Source organism: Homo sapiens, chromosome 5, assembly GCF_000001405.40.
Source record: "Homo sapiens chromosome 5, GRCh38.p14 Primary Assembly".
Taxonomy (NCBI): Eukaryota; Metazoa; Chordata; class Mammalia; order Primates; family Hominidae; genus Homo; species Homo sapiens.
The window spans coordinates 113120793-113143855 of NC_000005.10; the positions used below are offsets into that span (position 1 = coordinate 113120793).

The window sequence follows — 23063 nt, forward strand, 5'->3', positions numbered from 1 at the left end:
CCCTGATGTCTCCCAGCTGCTTTTCTTCAGCCCAGGTCTCTCCTCTTGGTGTTTTATCTGAATGCCTACTGCCTTCTGAAGCACCTCCGCTCAAATACTTCAAGACACTATAAACCCATGGGCAAACAAAACACGATCTCCACCTATCATATAGTTCCTGCCCCAAGCAAAACAAAACTCAAAGCAAAACCACCTGGTCCTACTTCCTATGTGCCCTATTGGCGAATGGCCCTGTTATCCATCTGTTGTACAAACAAACTCTTATGGGGCATACACACCCCCCACCTTCAATCGGTTTCCAATCCTTCAGCAAATCTTGCCAATTTTACATCTTTATTAAATCTCAGCTGCCACCACCCTAATCTGAGCAACAATTTTGCCCATCTAGAGTTCTGCAATAGTTTCCAAGCTAGCCTCCCCAACTCATTCTTCATCTATGGATTCTTTCTCCACACTACAGTGATTGATTCAAAATGCAAATCTGATTATCTCATTCTCTTCCCCCACTATTAAAAAATCTTTCAGTAGCTTCTTGTGGATCTTTGGGTAAAGGCCAAACATGGTCTCTGTCATGGCCTGTAAGACTCTGCATGGCCTAGTTCCTGCCTACCTCTCCAGTCCCCCTCTCACACCTCTGTGTCCTCCATCCATGAGGATCTTCAGTCACCTCCTTAAATGCATTCCTCTCCCTCACTGGATGCTATTCTCTTCCTTGACCTGCTTAATTCCTACTGATCCTCCAGCTCTGAGGTCAAACGCCTTCCTAGAGGAAGCCTTCTTGTAACCCTAGACTGAATCAAATTTCTTTGGATACACTCTCATAGTACTGTGTTCCATAATGTTGTAGCACTTATAGGATTTTAATTAAACCCAAATATGTAATATTTGATTAAAATCCCTCTCCCCAACAAAATTTTAACTTCCAAGAAAAACTCATTATAAAACTCAAGAAAACTGACTATATGCAACTCTTCTTTCTCCTGGTTCTTCTTCCATCTCTCCCATACATGTAAACATGTCTGTCCTAAGATATGCTGCTCCTCCCTCTTTTGACTCCACACCCTTCAACCACAGGGATCACCTTAGCTCAGATAACTTCAAAGCCTCTTCCCTCAACCTCGATCTCTTTCCAAATATCCAGGTAGGCAAGACCAGTAGTTTTGTAACATTTTGACTGCAACCCAGTTAGAACATTCATTTGGCAACTTACTGCCTACAAGGATGCAAGAAACAAATTTCATGAAACAATACTGTCACTTGCTTTCCTATTAGCCTTCATTTAAAAATACTTTTTCATGTAATTTCAAGACCCAACAGTAGGTCACACCCTGCAGTTTAAAATACATCATACCAGATATTTACACATGGATATTTCTCTACAACCTCAAACATAATATGACTATTTCCCAACTCACTTCTCAACACAACTTCCTAAGGAATATATGATCATTCTCTTAGTCACTTAGGAACAACACATTGGAGTCATTTTGGATTCCTCCTTCTTGCCCAATCCAAGTAGTTGTTAAAACCTATTGGGATTCTTCCACTGCAATGTGTTGGCCCCCATCCCATCCCTTCCCTTCCCACCATCATAGTTCAGATATTACTGTAATTTGGAATACTGCAATAGCCTTTTAAACTGGTTCCCTACTTCCAGAATTTTCAAATAGAAGTGACTTATGTTTGAATCACAATTGTATCAGAGCAGAAAGCTTCAGTTCCATTTTGACCAACAAAGTAATGTGTAAGGGACTGAAATACATGTGACTTCATCCACTCAGCAAACCCCTTGAAAAATTAAATTTTAATTCAGGCTGCCTCACATTTCTAAAATTTCTATTACAATCCAGAAACCAAACTCTGGCTTGGTGGCAAGGGCAGGCAGACTCACCCATGTCAGCAGTAACCATGGTAGACTGGTTTTCGGGGATAGAGACAGAGGTCTGGTCTTGGTCCATGCTTCGAGAGTCCTCGTTGACCTCGTGTTGGCTCTGGCTGAGTTCTGATCGCAGTTCTGAGTACTCATCTTCCTCCCTGAGAAAAAAGGAGAATTGGCAACCACTAACAGAGGATATAAGACAACCCCCTAGAGAATATGTCTTTTAAGGACAAGAAAAAGACATTGAGAGAGAAAACAGATTTCTCCCCCAGGCCACAGGGACCAGGATTTCTCCCAGGCGAAATAGATAGTCACATCTATGCTCAGTGAGTGAAGCTGAAAGGTTGCCTCTGTGTCCACAAAACATACCCATGTACCAAACGAGATTCATCTATCAGCCTGCAGAAACTCTTCCCCTTTAAAGATTCCTGAAGAAACTAGATTTCTTCGCCTCCTCAAATTCCGAGGAGAATAAGAACTAAGGCTACTAGCACTGAGGCTGCTGTGAACCAAATAACTAAGAGTCTAGCGCACAGCAACAGCATGCCCTACAATCTGGAGGGGCCCACAGGGGCTTCCTTCTTGAAGGAGGCTGGAGGTTGGAGATGGGGTTAGAGCTATTGGGAAACCAGCACCTCATCTGTGCAGATCAAACTAGACTTTTTTGAAAGGTATATGGATCAGCATGTATAAGAAAGACTAGGCTAACTTCCCAAAGAAAGTAGGTAGAACTAGGGGGTAGGAAGAGAGGATGCAATGAGGAGAAAACAGAACACTGAATGAGAGAACACCATTCAATGGTCTATTTCCTTTAATTTACACTTGCTAACAGGAAGACAACATTTAAACCCCACTGTGTTTTATTTGTATACACACATCTACCTCTTCTCAGCCCTTCAGAGGTCCCTCAACCTCTGGTCTCTTCACTGTACTATTAGCAAGCTGAGAAACTTAGAATTGCAGTGTGTATTTCAGAGCACGTGTACTGTCCCCTTCCCACACCACCACCATCACCACACATACACTGGACACAGGTATGGAGACAGCAAAATGAACCGTCTTTGAAGGATCTATTTTGCAAGTGAACCAGTAGGGGGAACTGTCAGGGGATTTAACTGGGAGTGGAATGCCCACTTGGGTCTGCTCAGCTTCAAGGGCAGGTTGTCTGTGAAGAAAGCTAGGAATCAGAGAAATCTCAGCCTGGCATTCATTTTAAGTTGTCAACAACCAGAGGAGAAGAAAGTCTACAGTGTTGGATTCTGGGTGGACCAAAATGATGAGTGGCGATCATTAGGGTTTAGGGAGGCAAGCGGGAGACACATCTATAAATCAGAGAAATGTGAAGAACAGAAATCTTGGTTCTCTTAAGATATCAAATTTCTCCCAGGAAAGGGATTCAGCTGAGCCCGTGCTTTATAAGGTATTGTTAATAAAACCTACCCAGAAAACTGGGAAAGCTTTATGTAGATATAAAGCCCCATGACATGGAAAATATGAATTAGAGAGTGGTGAAGACAAAAAATACAGGCTAATGTTCTATGAATAAGTTAATTATTAGACATCTGCAAAAGTCAACAATAATTAGGTTTAGGAAAGAAAATGATTAAAAAGCACTCTTAAGTGCCTTTTTGGTCTACAGGATGATTGTGCACTGATAGATACATTAGCTCTCCTTTCAGTCAGCACTTAAAATTCTGATTTTAGTTAAGGGAGATTTTGTGTATGATGAATAAATTACCTTTGTTGCATGGCCAACGTAATCAGCTTTGGCTCAGCCGAGACTTTTTTGCAGCCAAGAAAGCAAGTGATAAATGCTGCTGCTGTTTCTTTGGTATAAATGGCATTTGTAAAATCTTTAATAGCCACCTTAAACCTGGCTTGGCAGATTCGAAAACATATATTTCCTGCCAAATCTCCTGCTTTGTACAAAATTACTTCTAGAGATTACTAGGATGAACTTTATAAAGCAGTGAATTGGGAAAGTATGGGAAAGGGAAGCTGTTATTGCAGAAACATTCCCTACTGAGGTCAGAGCACAGTCTGAAGGAGAACCATACCACATTAAGCAGTAGGTTTTCTGTGTCACAAAATGCAAACTAAAAATTCCCATTCAATGTATTTGAGCACCAAAACAAAGATAGGAACACAAAGACTGCACAGATTCTGTCTTCAAGGAGACAAAGATGTTCACAAGAAGGATGCTGTGGGTGAACACTGGTGGAATATCTGGGGCTGCCAGTGGGGAGTGACCAAAGAAGACCTCCTGGGTGGAGCAGCGCTCAAGATCAGTTAGGACCTAATTTCAGTTACGTCACAAGTGTGGAATAGCACAGGCAAAGGCTCAGAGGAGCTGGGAACGTGCAGAACTTGGAGGGGAGCAAGTGGTTCACTATGACTGAAACCAAAATATGGCACAGGATGGAAACATGAGGCTGGAGAGGCACTCATACTACTTGTTGACTAGGCAGTGTGAGCAAAAGGAAAATATATTGCACCGGAGGATGCAAATAATCAGGGTTAGATGGAAGAAATAAAAATACAATGTGGAAAGTCTAGGAATTCAGAGGAAGGAGTAAATGTTGCCAAGATCTTGTGTGGAAACAGATAAAATGAGAAGAAGAGAAATGCATTCCAGCTATGGTAATCATTATAAGTATTCTAGAACAAAAACGACACATGGCAACAAAGTAAATAGTCATCAGAGGTGGAAAGCTACCTTGCGAGAACAGGGAAGATTTTGTGCCACAAAGAGTGAGGTATAAAAATGTTAAACTGAGCTTAAATATTAGAAAGTTCATGCACCCTGTTGTGTCTCCCACTGACTTTGGTAAAAAAATCATGGAGCTGCATATCCTTATCTCTCATTGGCATCATTCCTGAAAGGGGGCTGGAACCTGGGACCGGGAAATGACAAAAGCAATTCTCAGAGGGTCCTCTGTAAACTAACTCGATTTATGATTGCAGTATGCGTGGCAGACTGCATCAGGAGTATTGTTCCATCAAGAGCTATGGAGTAAGTAAAAAACACCAAGAGTCCCTGGCAGTTTTATAAAGACAAGATTTTGAGTTGTGCTTCTGCAGTGGCTCTGCACAGCCTAGAGGATGCCTGGTGAGGCTAATGACACAGCACAACAGCATCTCAAGATGACTTCTGTTTGTTGTATATACAGGCATTCTTCTCAAGCAATAACTTATTTCTTTGGGGAAAAAATGCCTCCCAAAAAAACACCAACTGCTATTGCTGGTGATGAAGAAGAGGAAAATGTAAAAACATGGAAAAAAAGTGTCCATTTAAAACCAGAAAAATAGCACCTCTGATAAACTGATAAATGTTGAAAGTGACACTCTGTAGTGGTAGGTTTATAATAATGGAATGACAAAGTTCTCAGGTGTTTCTCCTTGGAACATAAAGGGTCAACTCACAGGATTCCAAATGCATATTCTTTCATTCATGTAGAAGCATCTGCGAAGTGCTTCCAAGTTGCTTTAAGAGATGCAACCATTAATGTTTGCTCCTAGCTTAAACAACAACATAACAAATGTTCCTCAGGAGACAGGCATTAGATTGTACACTTGCCTATGTAATGACCAGCAGTGGCAGAAAAATCACAGGCTGGCAGACTGGAAGGGATTTTAAAGACTGTTTTAGCCAGGACCACTACCTTTATTTTACAAACAAGATAAATGGGGCTTCGAGAGGCAACTTACCTAAGATTATGCAACCACTAGCACAGCCTAATTCCTAAATTTCATACCAATGAGACAATATGTACTTGACCTTTGAACAACATGTATTTGAGCTGCATGAATCCATTTATATGCAAATTTTCTTTCCATAAATATATTTGACAATTTTCTGGAAATTTGTGACAACTTGAAAAAAACTCAGATGAATCGTATAGCCTAGAAATACAAAAACAAACTTTTTTTAAGGTATGTCATAAATGCATGAAATATATACATTAGGTTGATGCAAAAGTAATTGCAGTTTTGCTTTTGAAAGTAATGGAAAAAACCGCAACTGCTTTCACACAACCTAATAGATACTAGTCTATGTGTTAATTGACTGCTTATGTTATCCGTAAGGCTTCAAGTCAACAGTAGACTATTAGTAGTTAAGTTTTTGGTGAGTCATGAGCTATGTGTGGATTTTTAACTGCACAGTGTAGGGGTTGGTGCCACTATCCCTCATATTGTTGGGGTTTTTTAAACTCTTATTTTAGGTTCATGAGTACATGTGAGGGTTTGTTACGCAGGTAAACTCGTGTCTTGGGGGGTTTGTTGTACAGATTATTTCATCACCCAGCCCAATACCCAATGGTTATATTTTCTGTTCCTCTCCCTCCTCCCACCATCCACCCGCAAGTAGGCCCCAATGTCTGTTGTTCCCCTCTTTGTGTCCATTTGTTATCATTTAGCTCCCACACACAGTATTCAGTTTTCTACTCCTGCATTAGTTTGCTAAGGTTAATAGCCTCTGGCTCCATCCATCTTCCCACAAGACATGAGCTTGTATTTTTTATGGCTGCATAGTATTCCATGGTATATACGTACCACATTTTCTTTATCTAATCTGTCACTGATGGGCATTTAGGTTGATTCCATGTCTTTGCTATTGTGAACAGTGCTGCAATGAACGTTTGCATGCATGTGTCTTTATAGTAGAATGCTTTATGTTCCTCTTGGTATATACCCAGTAATGTGATTGCCGGGCTGAATGCTAGTTCTGCTTTTAGCTCTTTGAGGAATTGCCATACTGTTTCCCACAATGACTGAACTCATTTACACTCCCACCAACAGTGTGTAAGTATTCCCTTTTCTCTGCAACCTCACCAGCATCTGTTATTTTTTGACTTTTTAATAGTAGCCATTCTGACTGGTGTGAGATGGTGTGTCACTGTGGTTTTGATTTCCATTTCTCTAATGAGCAGCAATATTGAGCTTTTTTTCATATGCTTGTTGGCTGCATGTATATCTTTTGAAAAATGTCTGTTCATGTCCTTTGCCCGCCTTTTAATGGGGTTGTTTTTCTCTTGTAAATTTGTTTAAGTTCCTTATAGATGCTGGAAAGACCTTTGTTTGATGCATAGTTTGCAAATATTTTCTCCCATTGTGTAAGTTGTCTGTTTACTCTGTTGATAGTTTCTTTTGCTATGCAGAAGCTCTTAAGCTTCATTAGAACCCATTTGTCAATTTTTGCTTTGTTGCTATTGCTTTTGGTGTCTTTGTCATGAAATCCTTGCCCTTGCCTCCATGCAGAATGAAATTGCCTAGGTTGTCTCCCATAATCCTCACATTGTTTGAGGGTCAACTGTAATGTCATGACTGAAGGAAAAGATATTTCATTGTTTATTAAAGATTCCTTCTCATTATTGGTTAGGGGTAAAATAATTTAATCAGAAGAGGGAAAAGTCAATGGAAGTATAATTCTTACTATGCTATCTAGACTTCAAGCTGAAAGTACTATGGAGTCAACAGCATTTGATAGACTGTCATGTCACTAACTATCCACATTATCTATCTCATTTTGGGTGCACATTCATGCCTTCCATTGGATTGGAATGATTTGTGGAGAAGAGCCAGATGGTCATCTGCCTGCTTTGACAGCTGTCAAGCTGTCAGTCAGCTGTGGCCAACTAATCCACCCTACTTGACCTGGTGTTTTTTGGGCGAACTGCATTCTTTCTTAAATTAAGAGTAGACTTGCCTTTAAATGGCTGGCTTTCTTTTAAAGAACAAAGTTTTTTGTTTTTTGTTTTAAAGCTATTGGAAGGAAATGTATTCCTTTTAGTTCTCTGAAAGAATCTATTACATACAGGAAATAAGTGATGAATAAAGTCCTCGTTCTTTCTTCAATACTATCTCCTCTTATTTTTTCAGATAGCATAGAGAAGATCAGACTCATCTATGAATCTTTTGGTGAATAATTGAACAAATGGGATTTTGAAATGCTCTCCTATGAATATAACAATCCATTTTTGTCTTAACAAGAGCTCATATAAGATCCATATTCAAGAACTTCCAAATATTAAAAAAGAGATTGATACAGACCACACAGGAAAACAGGGAGAGAGAAACACTCTTCTTTCTGGGTTTTATTTTTATTTCATTGCATTATACTTTTTAGACTGTAAATTAATCAGAACAACATGTTTTGCTGGCAGACAAGGAGGTTTTGGTTACAGTTTTTGAAATGCAACAACATGAAGATGAACAGATGCCTGTGTGTTTTGTTGGCTGCATGTATACCAAGATGTACGTGATACCAACAACACACAGGTAACTGTGTGCCCAAAGATCAGGAGAAACATCAAGCTCCTAGTGCAGGCCTGAAATCTTAGTGGTCAGATTATATTACAGTAGATAGAGACTCTGGGATGTTTTCTCTCTCTGTCCTCAAATGAGGGGGCATTTTGTAGCAGACCCAGTAAGCAGAAGGGTTGAGTGCCAATCCTGAGATCACAGAGATAGGAGGGGTCTGTGCCTTGGGGCTGCTGCTGTATGAGGTTAAAGGTGTGAGAGAGAGAGTTTAGGATAGGAGCCCAGGCTGAGGACAAACTTGGTGGAGGGAAGAGAAGATCAACTGTCTGCAGGGTCCTAGAGGTTTAAGAAGAGTGCCGTCAGGAAGGAAAGAGGGCCTAGGGTCAAATGCCATAGAAAGAGACCAATGACAAAAAAAGTCACTGGATTTTTCATTTAAGAAATCATTGGTGATTTTCAAGAAAGGTGTTTCAGTCAGCTCAGGCTGCCATGAAAAGATACCATAGACAGGGTGGCTTAAACAACAGAAATTTATTTTCTCACAGTTCTGGAGCCTAGATCCTCCAAGATCAAGGTCCAGCATGGCTGCTTTCTGGTGAGGGCTCTTCCTGGCTTCCAGATGGCTGACTTTTCCCTGTGTCCCCATATGGCTGGGAGGAAGAGAATATACATGCAAGCCGTCTTATGTCTCTTCTTAAAAGGCAATACACCAAAAAACAACCCCATCAAAAAGTGGGCAAAGGATATGAACAGACACTTTTCAAAAGAAGACATTTATGCAGCCAACAAACATTTGAAAGAAAGCTCATCATCACTGGTCATTAAAGAAATGCAAATCAAAAACACAACAAGATACTATCTCACACCAGTTAGAATGGCGATCATTAAAAAGGCAGGAAACAACAGATGCTGGAGAGGATGTGGAGAAATAGGAACACTTTTACACTGTTGGTGGGAGTCTAAATTACTTCAACCATTGTGGAAGACAGTGTGCCAATTCCTCAAGGATCTAGAACCAGAAATACCATTTGACCCAGCAATCCCATTACTGGGTATATACCCAAAGGATTATAAATCATTCTGCTATAAAGACACATGCACATGTATGTTTATTGTGGCACTATTCAGAATAGCAAACACTTAGAACCAACCCAAATGCCCATCAAGGATAGACTGGATAAAAAAAATGTGGCACATATATACCATGGAATACTATGCATCCATAAAAAAGAATTGAGTTCATGTCCTTTGCAGGGACATGGATGAAGCTGGAAACCATCATTCTCAGCAAACTAATACAGGAACAGAAAACCAAGCACCACATGTTCTCACTTATAAGTGGAAGTTAAACAATGAGAACATATGGGCACAGGGAGGGGAACATCACACACTGGGGCCTGTCTGGGGATGGGGGCAAGGTGAAAGACAGCATTAGGAGAAATACCTAATGTAGATAATGGGTCCAGCAAACCACCATGGCACATGTATACCTATGTAACAAACCTGCACGTTCTGCAGATGTATCCCAGAACTTAGGTATAATTAAAAAAAATGAAAAAAAGGCAATATACCTTCTTGAGAGCCTGCTATGGTTTGAATGATTGTCCCCTCCAACTCTCATGTAGAAATTTCACCCCCAATATTGGAGATGGAGTCTAGTGGGAGGTGTCTGGGTCATGGGAGTGGATCCCTCAAGAGATTATTGCCCTTCCTTGTGGGTGAGTGAGTTCTCACTCTATTAGTTCCTTGGAGAGCGAGTTGTTGAAAGAGCCTGGCACATCATCCCTCTCAGGCCATGTGATCTCTGCACAGCCGGCTCCCCTTCCCCTTCTGCCATGAGTAGAAGCAGCCTGAAGCCCTCACCAGAAGCAGATGCCAGTGCCATGCTTCTTGTACAGCCTGCAGAACTGTGAGCCAAATAAACCTCTTCTATTTATAAATTACCCAGCCTCAGATTCCTTTCTAGTAACACAAAGGGACTAAGACAGGGCCCCACTCTTCTGACTTCATCTAACCCTGATTCTCTCCCAAAGGCCTCATCTCCAAATACCATCACAATAGGGGCTAGGGCTTCAATATATGAATTTGGGTAGGGGGAACCACAGTTCAGTTCATAGCAAGAGGGTTTTGGTAAACTGTTGGAGTCAGATGCCACACAGCAGCAGTGAGCTAACGAGCAAAGGGGAGATGAAGCAGAGAACATGAACAACTCATGAGACTTGGTAGTGAGAGGCTGATGTTATGAGAGTAGCTTATAGAAAAGAAAATAACCTCCTTGGGAAAGAAAAGATCTCATGTTTAATTTGCTTAGAAATCCTTTTTTATTTTCTTTTCACATCCAGTGAGCTACTGATATATTTTTCCATTTCCCCCATCCCACTATATAATCTCCCCAAGTCAGGTGAACATTTAAAAAAAGCCACCCATAACAGTTAAGAGAAAGAGCACATATTACAAAACAGTGCGTGTTATATGATCAGATTTGTTTAAAATATTCATGAATACAATTTTTCAGAAGGCCTTATGTATAAAGTGTTTAGTGTTTAATCCTAGGAGATAGGATTTAGGATACATTAGGCAGGGTTCAGTTAGGAAAACAAACTGCACTGCATGTTTCAAGTAGAAAGGATTTAACTTAGTTCCATGCCTGCAAAATTGCTGAAAGGGCTGCAGAAAAGAGAGGTGAGTAAAGGCCACCAAGAGCTGTCAGATTTGCCATCGTGGCTGTGATCCCCTCAGAGATCAGGAACTGCTACTGACTTTGCACCACCACAGCCTGAGGGAGAAAGGTTCCCACCTCCCTCTGCCTTCCAAACCCATGTGAGTGCATTTCATCGGCAGAGTTAAAACTCTATCCAGAACCCAGCTGGTAAGAGAATCTGAGAGGTAGTTCCCAGGCCCTCTTTGATTCTGGGGAGAATAGAGGGGTGGGAATGGTATCAAGTGCCAGACAACAGCTATCATAGTCTCCACCCTCTTTAGCTACTCAGTGACCAACCATATGCACCCTCTTATCCATACCACAATTTCTAAATCGCAATAGCAATGATACTAACCTTCTCTGTAGTCATTCCTTGATTCAATTTAAATAGGTTCAACTTTTGAAAATGAGAGATCCAAAGTACCATGATTTATAGTGTGGGATATAAGCGTTTTTTTAAATAACGATTAATTTTTTATTTTCTAATTTATAATTTTTTTCTTTTGAGTTTTCTATTAACTGGAACTTTACAAGGATTCAATTTCCTTAAAATTTTAAACATTATTCCTAACAATAGTATTGTAAAGTGATCTTCATTCTTCCAGTTCAATGACAAACCCACCTAGATATCATGTAACCTACCTATTAAATTATGAGTTTCACCAGTACCAACTCACCCTATATGAAATAATAGGAGAAAATAAGAGGAAAAAGAAAAGTGCATATGTGTGTGTGTGTGTATATATATACATACATATATATATACATACATACATATATATATACACACATACATATATATATATATATACACACACACACACACACACACACACACACACACATACATATATATATACAAGCAAGAAAATATGCACAGCCTAGCCATCTTTTCTGCAACTGGTCATGAGGCTATAGCTGATATTTATAACTTCCCTCCACTGGGAAATCCATATTTTATTTGTTTGGCTAGCATCTCAGCTGGTTAGAATTAGTTCTTTACTTAATGAAGTAATCCAAAATCTTTATTCCTCAAGGGCCTAGCCCTTAGTGGACTGACTTGTATTTGGCCTGACTTGTATTGGGTTGTTCTAATCTGCTAACTTTTACCACTGGATAATTACTGGAAGGTATCCTAGGGATTCCCATGTGTTTCAGACATAGTACTCAGTGTCCCAATTTCCTCTTGATAGTTACTCCAGCCAGTAGAGTAACTCCCTTCTTTGCTTGTTGGCTCAGTGGCATGGGGTGTCCCAAAGGGCTAAACAGGTGGCAGTCAATGGAATCATTTTTGTATTCTCTGATGGAGAACTCCCTAAGATTTCAAACTAGCAGAGCTCAAAGTTGCAAAAATAAGAATCTATAACTTTCTTTTTTTTTTGTTTTTACTGATACCGGATAGATACGTATTTTCAGGGTACCTGTGACATTTTCATACATTTATAATGTGTAATAATCAAGTCAGGATAACTGGGATATCCATCACCTTCAACATGTATCTTTTCTTTATGCTGGGAACATTCAAATTATTCTCTAGTAGCTACTTTGAATTATAAAATATTATAGTCACTCTATTGAATTATCAAACACTAGGTCTTACTTCTTCTATCTACCTATATTTTTGTACCCATTATTCAACCTCTCTTCATCCCCCTCTCCTCCCTACCCTTCCCAGCCTCTAATAACCACCAAAATACTCTCTATCTTCATGAGATCCACTTCCTTAGCTCCCACATGAGTAAGAACATGCGATATTTGTCTTTTTGTGCTTTCTGGCTTTTTTCATGTAACATAGCAACCTCCAGTTCCATTCATGTTGCTGTGACAGGATTTCATTCTTTTTTTTTTTATAGCTGATAATATTCTATTGTGTGTATCTTCATCTATTCATCTGTTGATAGGCACTGATATTGATTTCAAATTTTGGCCATTGTGAAGTGCTGCAATAAACAAGAGAATGCAGGTATCTCTTCAATATATTGATGTCTTTTCTTTTGGATATATACCCAGTAAGGGAATTACTGGATCATATGGTAGTTCTATTTTGAGTTTTTTGAGGAATTTTCATACTGTCTTACATAGCAGTTGTAGTAATTTACATTTCTGCCAAGAGTGTATGAGACTTCCTCTTTCTTACATATCCTTGCCAGCATCCATTATTCCCTATGCTTTGGTAGAAGCCATTTTAACTGGGGAGAGAGAATATCTCATTGTGATTTTGAATACTTTTTCATTTACCTGTTGGCCATTTGTACGTCTTCTTTTGAGCAATGTCTATTCAGATCTTTCGCTAATCTTTTGCTAAAAAAAATCAGATTTGTTTTTTGTGCTACTGAGTTCCTTATATTCCTTGCCAATGGACAGTGTGCAAATATTGTCTCCCATTCTGTAGTTTGTCTTTTCACTTTCATTATTTCCATTGCTGTGTGGAAGCTTTTTAGTTTGATGTAATCCCATTTGTATAGTTTTGCTATCATTGCCTATGCTTTTGAGGTCTTACTAAAAATTCTTTGCCCAGACTCAATGTCCTAGTGCATTTCCTTAATGTTTTCTCTGAGTAGTTTGATAGTTCAGGTCTTATGTCTAGGTTTTAATCTGCTCTGATTTTTGTATATGGCGAGAGATTGGTGTCTGGTTTCATTCTTCTGCATATGGATATCCACTTTTCCCAGCACCATTTATTGAAGAGACTGTTCTTTCCCCCATTGTATGTTCTTGGTACCTCTGTCAAAAATGAGATGACTGTAGATGAGTAGATTTATTTCTGGATTCTCTATTATGTTTCATTGCTCTATGTGTCTGCTTTTGTGCCAGTACTATGCTGTTTTGGTTGCCACAGCTTTGTAGCATAATTTGAACTCAAGTAGTGTGATCCCTCCAGCTTTGTTCTTTTTGCTCAGGATTGGCTTTGGCTATTTGGGCTTTTTTTTTTTTTTTTTTTTTTTGTAGTTCTATAAACATTGTAGGATTTTTTTTTTCTTCTATTTCTGTGAAGCATGACATTGGTATTTTGATAGGGATTACATTGACTCTATAGATCACTTTGGGTAGTATTAACATTTTAACCCATTTGTGCTGGAGCCTGAAATTTTTTTGTGTGTGAAAAATCAGACGTTGGTGATGACCTTGAGCAGTAGGATATAAATAACTCCCACAAGCTTAGCGTTCCAGTAATGGAACACTAGGCATAAATAGATTAACAATATTAATTCTTCCAATCCATAAGCATGGGGATCTTTCCACTTGTTTGCATCCTCTCCAGTTTCTTTAGAGAGAATTTTGTAATTTTCCTTGTAGAGAACTTTTACTTCTTTTTTTTTTTTTTTTAAACAGAGTCTCGCTCTGTCTCCCAGCCTGGAGTGCAGTGGCCCGATCTCAGCTCACTACAACCTCCGCCTCCCGGGTTCAAGCAATTCTCCTGCCTCAGCCTCCTGAGTAGCTGACTACAGGCGTCTGCCACCACACCTGGCTAATTTTTGTATTTTTAGTGGAGACGGGGTTTCACCATATTGCCCAGGCTGGTCTTGAACTCCTGACCTTATGATCCGCCCACCTCGGCCTCCCAAGTTGCTGGGATTACAGGCGTGAGCCACTGTGCCCAGTCGGTCTTTTACTTCTTTGGTTAAATTTATTCTTAGGGGCCGGGCACAGTGGCTCACACCTGTAATCCCAGCACTTTGGGAGGCCGAGGCGGGTGGATCACAAGGTCAGGAGATCGAGACCAGCCTGGCTAACGTGGTGAAACACCGTCTCTACTAAAAATACAAAAAAAAAAATTAGCCGGGTGTGGTGGTGGGAGCCTGTAGTCCCAGCTACTCGGGAGGCTGAGGCAGGAGAATGGCGTGAACCTGGGAGGTGGAGCTTGAAGTGAACCGAGATCGTGCCACTGCACTCCAGCCTGGGTGACAGAGTGAGACTCTGTCTCAAAAAAAAAAAAAAAAAAAATTATTCTTAGGTATTTTATAATTTTTGTAGCTATTGTAAATAGGATTGCTTTCTTGATTTTGTGTTCAGATTCTTCACTGTTGGCATATATAAATGCTATTAAAACCCACCTAGATACGTAACCTACCTACTAAATTATGAGTTTCACCAATACCAACTCATCCTATATAAAATGATAGGAGAGGCTGGACGTGGTGGCTCACACCTGTAATCCCAGCACTTTGGGAGGCCAAGGTGAGCAGATCACCTGAGGCCAGGAGTTCGAGAACATCCTGGCCAATATGGTGAAACCCCATCTCTACTAAAAACACAAAAAAGTAGGCGGGCATGGTGGTGCATACCTGTAATCCTAGCTACTCAGGAGGGGGAGGCACGAGAATCACTTGAACTCAGGAGGCAGAGGTTGCAGTGAGCCCAGATTGCGCCACTGCACTCCAGCCCAGGCAACAAAGCAACACTCTGTCTCAAAAATAAATAAATAAATAAAAATTAAGTAGGAGAAAGTAAGAGGAAAAAGGGACATGCATATATACATAAAAGCAAGAATATATGCATAGCGTAGCCATTGCTTCTGATTACAGGCTATAGCTGGTTACAGGCTACAGTTGATATTTACTCCTTCCTTCTCCTACTAGGAAATCCTTATTTTCTTTAGCTAGCATCTCAGCTGGTTAGAATTCTTTATTTAATGAAGTAATCAACAATCTCTACTCCTGAAGAAGTCTGCTTTTAGACCTAGTGATGTAAACAGAGATCTGAAATAAGAAAATATAAATAAAAATAGACCTACTGATGGTACAGCTCATGGGTGCAAGACATCTTCTGATAAGATTCATACATGCATTGATATTCCTATAGGTAGAATTACTTGGTTGAGGACTTTGAGTAATCGTAGCTCTCCTGGTTTAGGAGCTGCTGTAAGAATTATATAAGAATCAAAATTTATTTATTTATTTATTTTTTACCTGCTAGGAGTGCAAGCAAGGAATCAAAATTTAAACCTTTTTAGATCTAAAATTTAGATTTTTGTAGCTATTGTAAATGGAATTGACTTATTTGATTCTCTGATTGTTATTGGTGCATAGAGATGCTAAAATGATTTTAACGTGTTGATTTTGTATCCTGTAACTTTACTGAATGTATCAGTTCTAGAAGTTTTTTGTTGGAGTATTTAGGGGTTTCTATATATAAGATCATATCATCTGTGAACAGGATAATTCTGCGAACAAGGTGAATTTGACTTCTTCCTTTCCAATTTGGATGCCCTTTATTTCTTTCTTTCCTAATTGCTCTAGCCAGGACTTCCTGTTTTACGTTGGGTAACAGTGATGAAAGTGGGCATCCCTGTCTTATTCCAGTCTTTAGAGGAAAGGCCTTCAGTTTTTCCCCCTTCACTATGATATTAGCCATGGGTTTGTCATAGGTTGCCTTTATTTTGAGATATGTGTATTAGTCTGTTCTCACACTGCTATAAAGAACTTCCCTGAGACTGGGTAACTTATAAAGGAAAGAGGTTTAATTGATTCACAGTTCAGCATGGCTGGAGAGGCCTCAGAAAACTTATAATCATGGTGGAAGGGGAAGCAGGCACCTTCTCAAGGCAGCAGGATAGAGTGTAAGCATGTGCAGGAGGAACTGTCAACCACATAGAAAACCATCAGATCTTGTCAGAATTCGTTCTTATGCTATCATAAGAATAGAATGGAAGAAACCAGTCACCTCCCTCCCTCAATATGTGGGTATTACAATTCAAGATGAGATTTGGGTGGGACACAGAGCCAAACCATATCAATATGTTCCTTTTGTATCCATTTTAGGGTTTTTATCATAAAGGGATGGTTATCAAATGCTTTTCTGTCATCTACTGAAATCATCATGTTTTTTCCTTGATTCTGTTAATGTGGTATATTGTGTTTATTTATTTGCATATGTTGAATGGTATTTGCATCCCTATGGTGAATCCCACTCGATCATGGTGAATGACCTTTTTATTGTGCTGTTGCATTTGGTTTGCTAGTATTTTGTTGAGGATTTTTACCTCTATTTTCATTAGTGATATTAGCCTGAAACTGGTGCTTTTGTTGTTGTTGTTGTTATGCCCCTGTCTGCGTTTGGTATCAGGGTAACAGAAGCAACAACTTTTTAAGTGGATTTTTAGGTGTATTCATAAGAAGGGCCACTTCCATTCTCTCAATCCACAAAACACAGCACCATATACTGTTGCTAGTTCGGAGCATTTACCACATCTCTAGGGCATTGAAAAAGGTTACCTCTCAGATGGTGCCATCACTAGGTCCACTATGATTTGGATTGAGTCCATAATGCGACTTACCACCTGACTTTCAGCAACCTGCATTGTCTGATTCTTGGCTACATTACCCTGTAGCTATAAGGGATGGGAGAGTCTTCTAGGGTAGTCACAGAAGGTCCCAGGCACTAAATTGCGTCCCAAAATTCTTTTTTTTTTTTTCTCTGTTACCCAGGCTGGAGTGCAGTGGTGCGACCTTGGCTCACTGCAACCTCCACCTCCTGGGTTCAAGTGATTCTCCTGCCTCAGCCTCCCAAGTAGTTGGGACTATAGGCACGCACCACCACGCCCAGCTAACTTTTGTATTTTTTGGTAGAGAGGGGTGTGTTGGCTAGGCTGATCTCAAACTCCTGTCCTCAAGTGATCTGCCTGCCTCAGCCTCCCAAAGTGCTGGGATTATAGGCATGAGCCACCACGCCTGGCCCACGCCAAAATTCTTATGTTGAAGCCTTAACATCCAATGTGATGGTGTTTGGAGACAGGGCCTTTGGGAGGTAATTAGGTTTAGATGAGGTCATGAGGGTGGGGTCCTCATGATGGGACTGGTGCCCTCATATGAAGATACAGCAGAGAGCTTGCTTCCTCTTTCTCTCTTCCCTCCATGTGAGGACACAGTGAGAAGGTGGCCATCTGCAAGCCAGGAACAGAGCCTCAATGGGGAAATAATTAGCTTGTGTCTTAATCTTAGACTTCCCAGCCCCCAGAACTGTGAGAAATACATTTCTGTTGTGTGAGCCACCTTGTCTATGATATTGTGTTATGGCAGCCCAAGCTGACTGATATGCCTTCCTAAGTCCCTGCTCTGACTTGTGAACCACAAATATTTTGAAGCTCCATGGGTTATCATCAGTTTAGATTCAATGTCTAGTAATCTACCTAAGAATATGGTTCTCTCTTTTCCCCACTGCACACTCTCCCTTATAAGTACCTGCCATTCTCTTTGAAGGGGTAAAAGGAAAGTTTACTGTACTCACTTGTGGCATGATTGATACATCTTCCCCTTCATCCAGGGGACTCTGGTTCTATAACTGGCCTGTTATCCAGGTAAGGGAATTGGATGAGGCCATGATTATTCATTGTGATGACAAGTAAAGTCTCTGTTCACCAGACCAGAGTTTGACTATAATGATCTAGTAAAACTTTAGTAGGCTGCCCATTTATATCAGTTCTAGAGATCTCAAGCTTAGCCACTACAACTATCCCTAGCAGGTCAAACTTTTTTGATTACTATTGTGCCCTTGTTGACCAATATAGTAACCAAGCCCACTTCGACTCTGTTTGTTCAGTGGTACCAAGGACCCCATTTTAAGGACATTATCTCCCAGTCAACATCGCTGATTCCTCAGGCTTCTAAACTTTTTCTAGATTATACTAGCAAAGTTCTGGCATTTCAACATAATTTAATGCAGAGTCCTTTGTTGAGCCTAGTTTTCAGTTATTCAAACTGGTGAATACTAGTTTGATTAGTATAACATAGTAACATACTCAATCCAGAATCTCTTACAGGAAAAGTCCTATCAATAAAGTCGTCATCGGTCCAACTGAGTTCCTCCCTCCCTGGTCTAGAACCCTTAGTTCCTAATCTCACACATGAATTAATATGAACATATGAAAAAAAGCTCATCATCACTGGTCATTAGAGAAATGCAAATCAAAAACACAACAAAATACCATCTCACACCAGTTAGAATGGCGATCATTAAAAAGTCAGGAAACAACAGATGCTGGAGAGGATGTGGAGAAACAGTAATGCTTTTACACTGTTGGTGGGAGTGTAAATTAGTTCAACCATTGTGGAAGACAGTGTGGTGATTCCTCAAAGATCTAGAACTAGACATACCATTTGACCTAGCAATCCCATTACTGGGTATATACCCAAAGGATTATAAATCATTCTACTATAAAGACACATGCAACCTTCACCTCCCAGGTTCAAGCGATTCTCCTGCCTCAGCCTCCTGAGTAGTTGGGACTATAGGTGTGCACCACCATACAAAGACACCAAAAGCAACAGCAAAAAAGCAAAAATTGACAAGTGGGATCTAATGAAGCTTAAGAGCTTCTGCATAGCAAAAGAAACTATCAACAGAGTAAACAGACAACTTACAGAATGGGAGAAAATATTTGCAAACTATGCATCAAAGGTCTATCCAGCATCTCTAAGGAACATACAATAAAACTTCCCCGAGTTTTATTAAATGTAAATTAATGGAATCTTACAAATCTTCTGGTGCTTTACTTGTATCTTTCCAAGTTGGATTTTCTACTTATCTCTTTGGGACATGATGATATTTGACCACTTTTAGGCCTAAAGATAAAGATGAATGAAGTAGGAATGGGACATGATTATATTTGCCACCTCCTACCTGGGATGAAATAGTTACAGAGTCTCCAAGCAAAATAGGACTTGCTTTATTAGATGAGGAGGGAGAATTGTTTCTGTAGGAGGGAGAGCTCAGTGGAATTTGTAGTTTCCAGGTATTTGAATTTATTTGAATCTACCCAAATGTCCCTGTTCAAATTCTCACGATTTCACCTTTTCCTACCAATGCTTAATCTTCACTTAAGAGATCTGACGTGGCCATGAATTCAACTCACATTAGCATCTGCAACCTGCAGTATCTGATTTTTGGCTACATTAGCACTGTGACTGTAAGGGATGGGAGTCTTTTAGGGCAGTCACAGAAGGTGCCTGGTGCTTTGATTGTGACCTGAGATAGAAAACTATGAGATTGTCATTTTCTTTCCTTAAGCAATTCAGGATAGCTTAAGTGTGGATATATCATAGCTTATATAAACTATGCCCTTAATAATGATTTTTAGCTTCTCCAATAAATTCTTAACTGAGGCCAGATTTAAGTGACACCAAAGTCTACAATGGTACCACCACTGTGTCTGTCCAGTATGACAAGCAATTCTGTAGACCGTGGGTATGCTAGGGCAGTTAGAGTTCATCCACGGTGCCTAGTTCCTACTGCATTTGGCCCATCACAGCATATTAAGAGCTGAGACTGTGATGGTTAATTTTAGGTGTCAACTTGACTGGATTAAGGAATATCTGAGAGAAATGTTAAAGCGTTGTTTCTAGATGTGTGTGTGAGGGCGCTTCCAGAGGAGACTGGTGTGTGAGTTGTTGGACTCGGGGAAGATCCACCCTTAGTGTGTGTGGGCACCATCCAACTGGCTAGGGGTCTGGATAGAACAAAAAAGGAAGAGAAAAGACAAATTCACTCTCCCTCTTCCTGGAGGTAGAATACTTTTCTCCTGCCCGTGGACATCAGAACTCTTCCTGCCCTTGGACATCAGAACTCCTGGCTCCGTAGCCTTTGGACTCCAGGACCTGCACTTGCATTCCCCCAGGTTTTCAAGCCTTTGGCTTGGACTGAGATTTACACCATCAGCTTCTCTGTTCTGAGCTTTTCAAACTTGGACTGAGTCATGCTGCCAGCATCCCAGGATCTCAAGCTTGCAGTCAGCCTGTTGTGAAACTTCTCAGACTCCATAATCACATGAGCCAATCTTCCTAATAAATCCCCTTTCATATCTTTACAGATGTCTATCTGTCTCTACGTTCTATTGGTTTCTGTCTCTCTGGAGAACCCTGAATAATTCAGAGGCCAAACCAATTTGCTGGAGTGCTGAGGGCTGGGGAGATGCCTAAGCCTCAGGAGCTCAGAGGACAAGGAGAGCCTTTGTCTCATTGGTCTACACGTCTAAGTGCCTTCCAGCCTTGCAGGGAATCCCCTCGAGGAGGGGCCAGCTCATTTACATAACAAAAACTGGCAGAATTTAATATGACATCTCCACAGATGTAGTCTTCCTTTAAATTAAAGGCACCAATAAATGTTTGTAGTCAAGAAGCTCACTGCATTTCAAAGTGAAGCAGTTTGGTCATTACATTCAATTTAAACATCTTGAAATTGAGATTTCTAGGTGATGTGTATTTTTTCATATTTTGTATTTTTCACAACTTACTGAGCCCATTTGCTTTCACTTTCTCAAGTGTTTAAAAGTGCATAAAAATCACAAATTTGCCAGTGTCCTATGCCAGGCTCCTTTACATCTGCTATAATCATTCTTTTGGGCTAAAAATTCTTCTCTGCTCATGTACTTCTAACCTACAATCACTGTGAAGACCAATATACAATTTAAAAGCCTTGAGGTTCTAAATTAGAATATGCAGTTTATTGTGTGGCTCCAGCTCAGTGCAAACTTTTCCACAATTTTGCCCAGAAAACAGATGCCCATTAGTAGCCTCATCAAGAAGCCCCGCCATTACTGTGACTCTTGGTGTTGGAACAAAATGCATCCAAAGTTTCCTCTGACTTCTAGAAGGAGAGTTTAAAGTAGCTGCCTCTGAAACTGTTTTAAAATTGTGGCTTGTGTAAGCATTTGGTGAACAAAGCGCTCTTTCTCCAAAAAGGTAGGTGCCAGCCACTTGCTGTCCTCAGGCTGTTCCCGGAGCATCGCCAGGAACATGAAAATGCTCTCATCCACGGCTTAGTGTCATTTAAAGCAAACCTCTCCTCTGAGGAACAGGGCAGATACAACCAACTAATCACTGTGGCAGGAGACTTAGAGGCCAAGTGATTAATAAGTAAGGAAGGCAGAATCCCTACCAGTTATTGTTATGAAAAGAAAATTCAGTAAAAGCAGAGATATTCTGGGTTCTGACCCACCTCTATCCTCTCCTAATTTTAACTACAAGGCAGTCACTCTCTTTAAGCTCCAGCTTTTTCACCAGTAAAATGATGGGTCAAATCTTTCCCCCTGCCTTATGAGTCCAGTAAGAGGATAAATCCATGTTGGTAGAGCAATTTGAGGTAAGCTCAAAATATAATCAGATTATCTGGAAGCCTACATAATGCTTAGTTATAAGCTACATTCATAAATCTCTCAAAATCTCCAAGGGAGGGACACAGTTTGCATATTTAGTATCAACCCAGTGAATCAAAGCAGCAGCAGGGATGCTCGTCTCTAAGATGGAAGGGGCTCCATTTAGAACTCATGACTAAAGCATTTCACTCAACTTCTGATTTCATACCCTTATCAACAAACTGAGGACCACAACCTCCACCTTGTCTACTTTCCAGGGCTACTGTAAGGACCCAAATCAGAACAGAATAAGGGAGGTAAAAGCACATGATTAACAAAGCAAAGAGAAATATACACTTCAAAAGCCTTAGATACAAAGAAAACATCATTATAATCTAGTTTATAATCTACAAACTAGAACTTCGGTCTTGGAGTTAAAATAGTTGGGGCTACTTCAGCTCCAAGATGGAGGGTTTAGCAGAAGGGGCAGAGTAAAAGCCGAATGGAGCCGCGTACCTGATGGTGGTGCCTTGCAGACGGTCTATCTTCTTGTTGAGCTCCGCAATGACGCTGTGGAGCTCTGTGATGCGTTCCTCATAGCGAAGTGTCGTTCGCTCCTGGACATCCTCATGCTCTCTCATGAGGTGGGACTGCTCGCACTGGGAATAAGGGAAAAGGACAGAAGTGCTGATGAATTCATGCACCTACAGGTGGATGATTCCAAGCTTTGTGGCCTTAAACCATTACAACTGCCAACACTGAGTATGCCCCAAATAAAATGTATGTCAGCTCATCGGCTGGCAATCCCAGGAAACATATCAATGGCTAAATTTTATAATTCCCCCAGTGGATACTGGAGTCTTTGCCTTTCTAGCACTCCATCTCTCTTTGGGAAACAGTCCCTTTGCCATTGCACACTGTCCAAGTGGGGCTATTCAAGTCCCCCACTTTCCCGTAGCCAAGAAACAGGCAAGTGGTCCAAGCTAGATCCATCAGATACCTTCTGCAGGGGATTTCAATCTTGAGCCAATGGATGTAAGGTTGCATGGAGTTGATTCAGAAAGCCTTGAAGAGCATCTCTCTTAGTTCCTGCTACCTACAGCTCCCTTCCCAAGTTCCTTTATGGCTGTTCAGTTTCCCTTTTTACCAATTCA

The 23063-nt window shown here is 40.5% G+C and overlaps 1 protein-coding gene across 2 annotated transcripts in view; it reads right to left on the reverse strand.

Moving 5' to 3' along the window:
- The window catches only part of MCC (MCC regulator of Wnt signaling pathway), a 466348-nt gene that overhangs the window by 98687 nt on the left and 344598 nt on the right, over positions 1-23063 (reverse strand). For both annotated transcript variants that reach the window (NM_001085377.2, NM_002387.3), the window contains 2 exons: positions 22426-22568; positions 1892-2034 (listed from right to left, as the gene is read on the reverse strand). In NM_001085377.2, coding sequence (NP_001078846.2) covers positions 1892-2034; positions 22426-22568 — 286 coding nt within the window. The remainder of the gene's footprint in view (positions 1-1891; positions 2035-22425; positions 22569-23063) is intronic.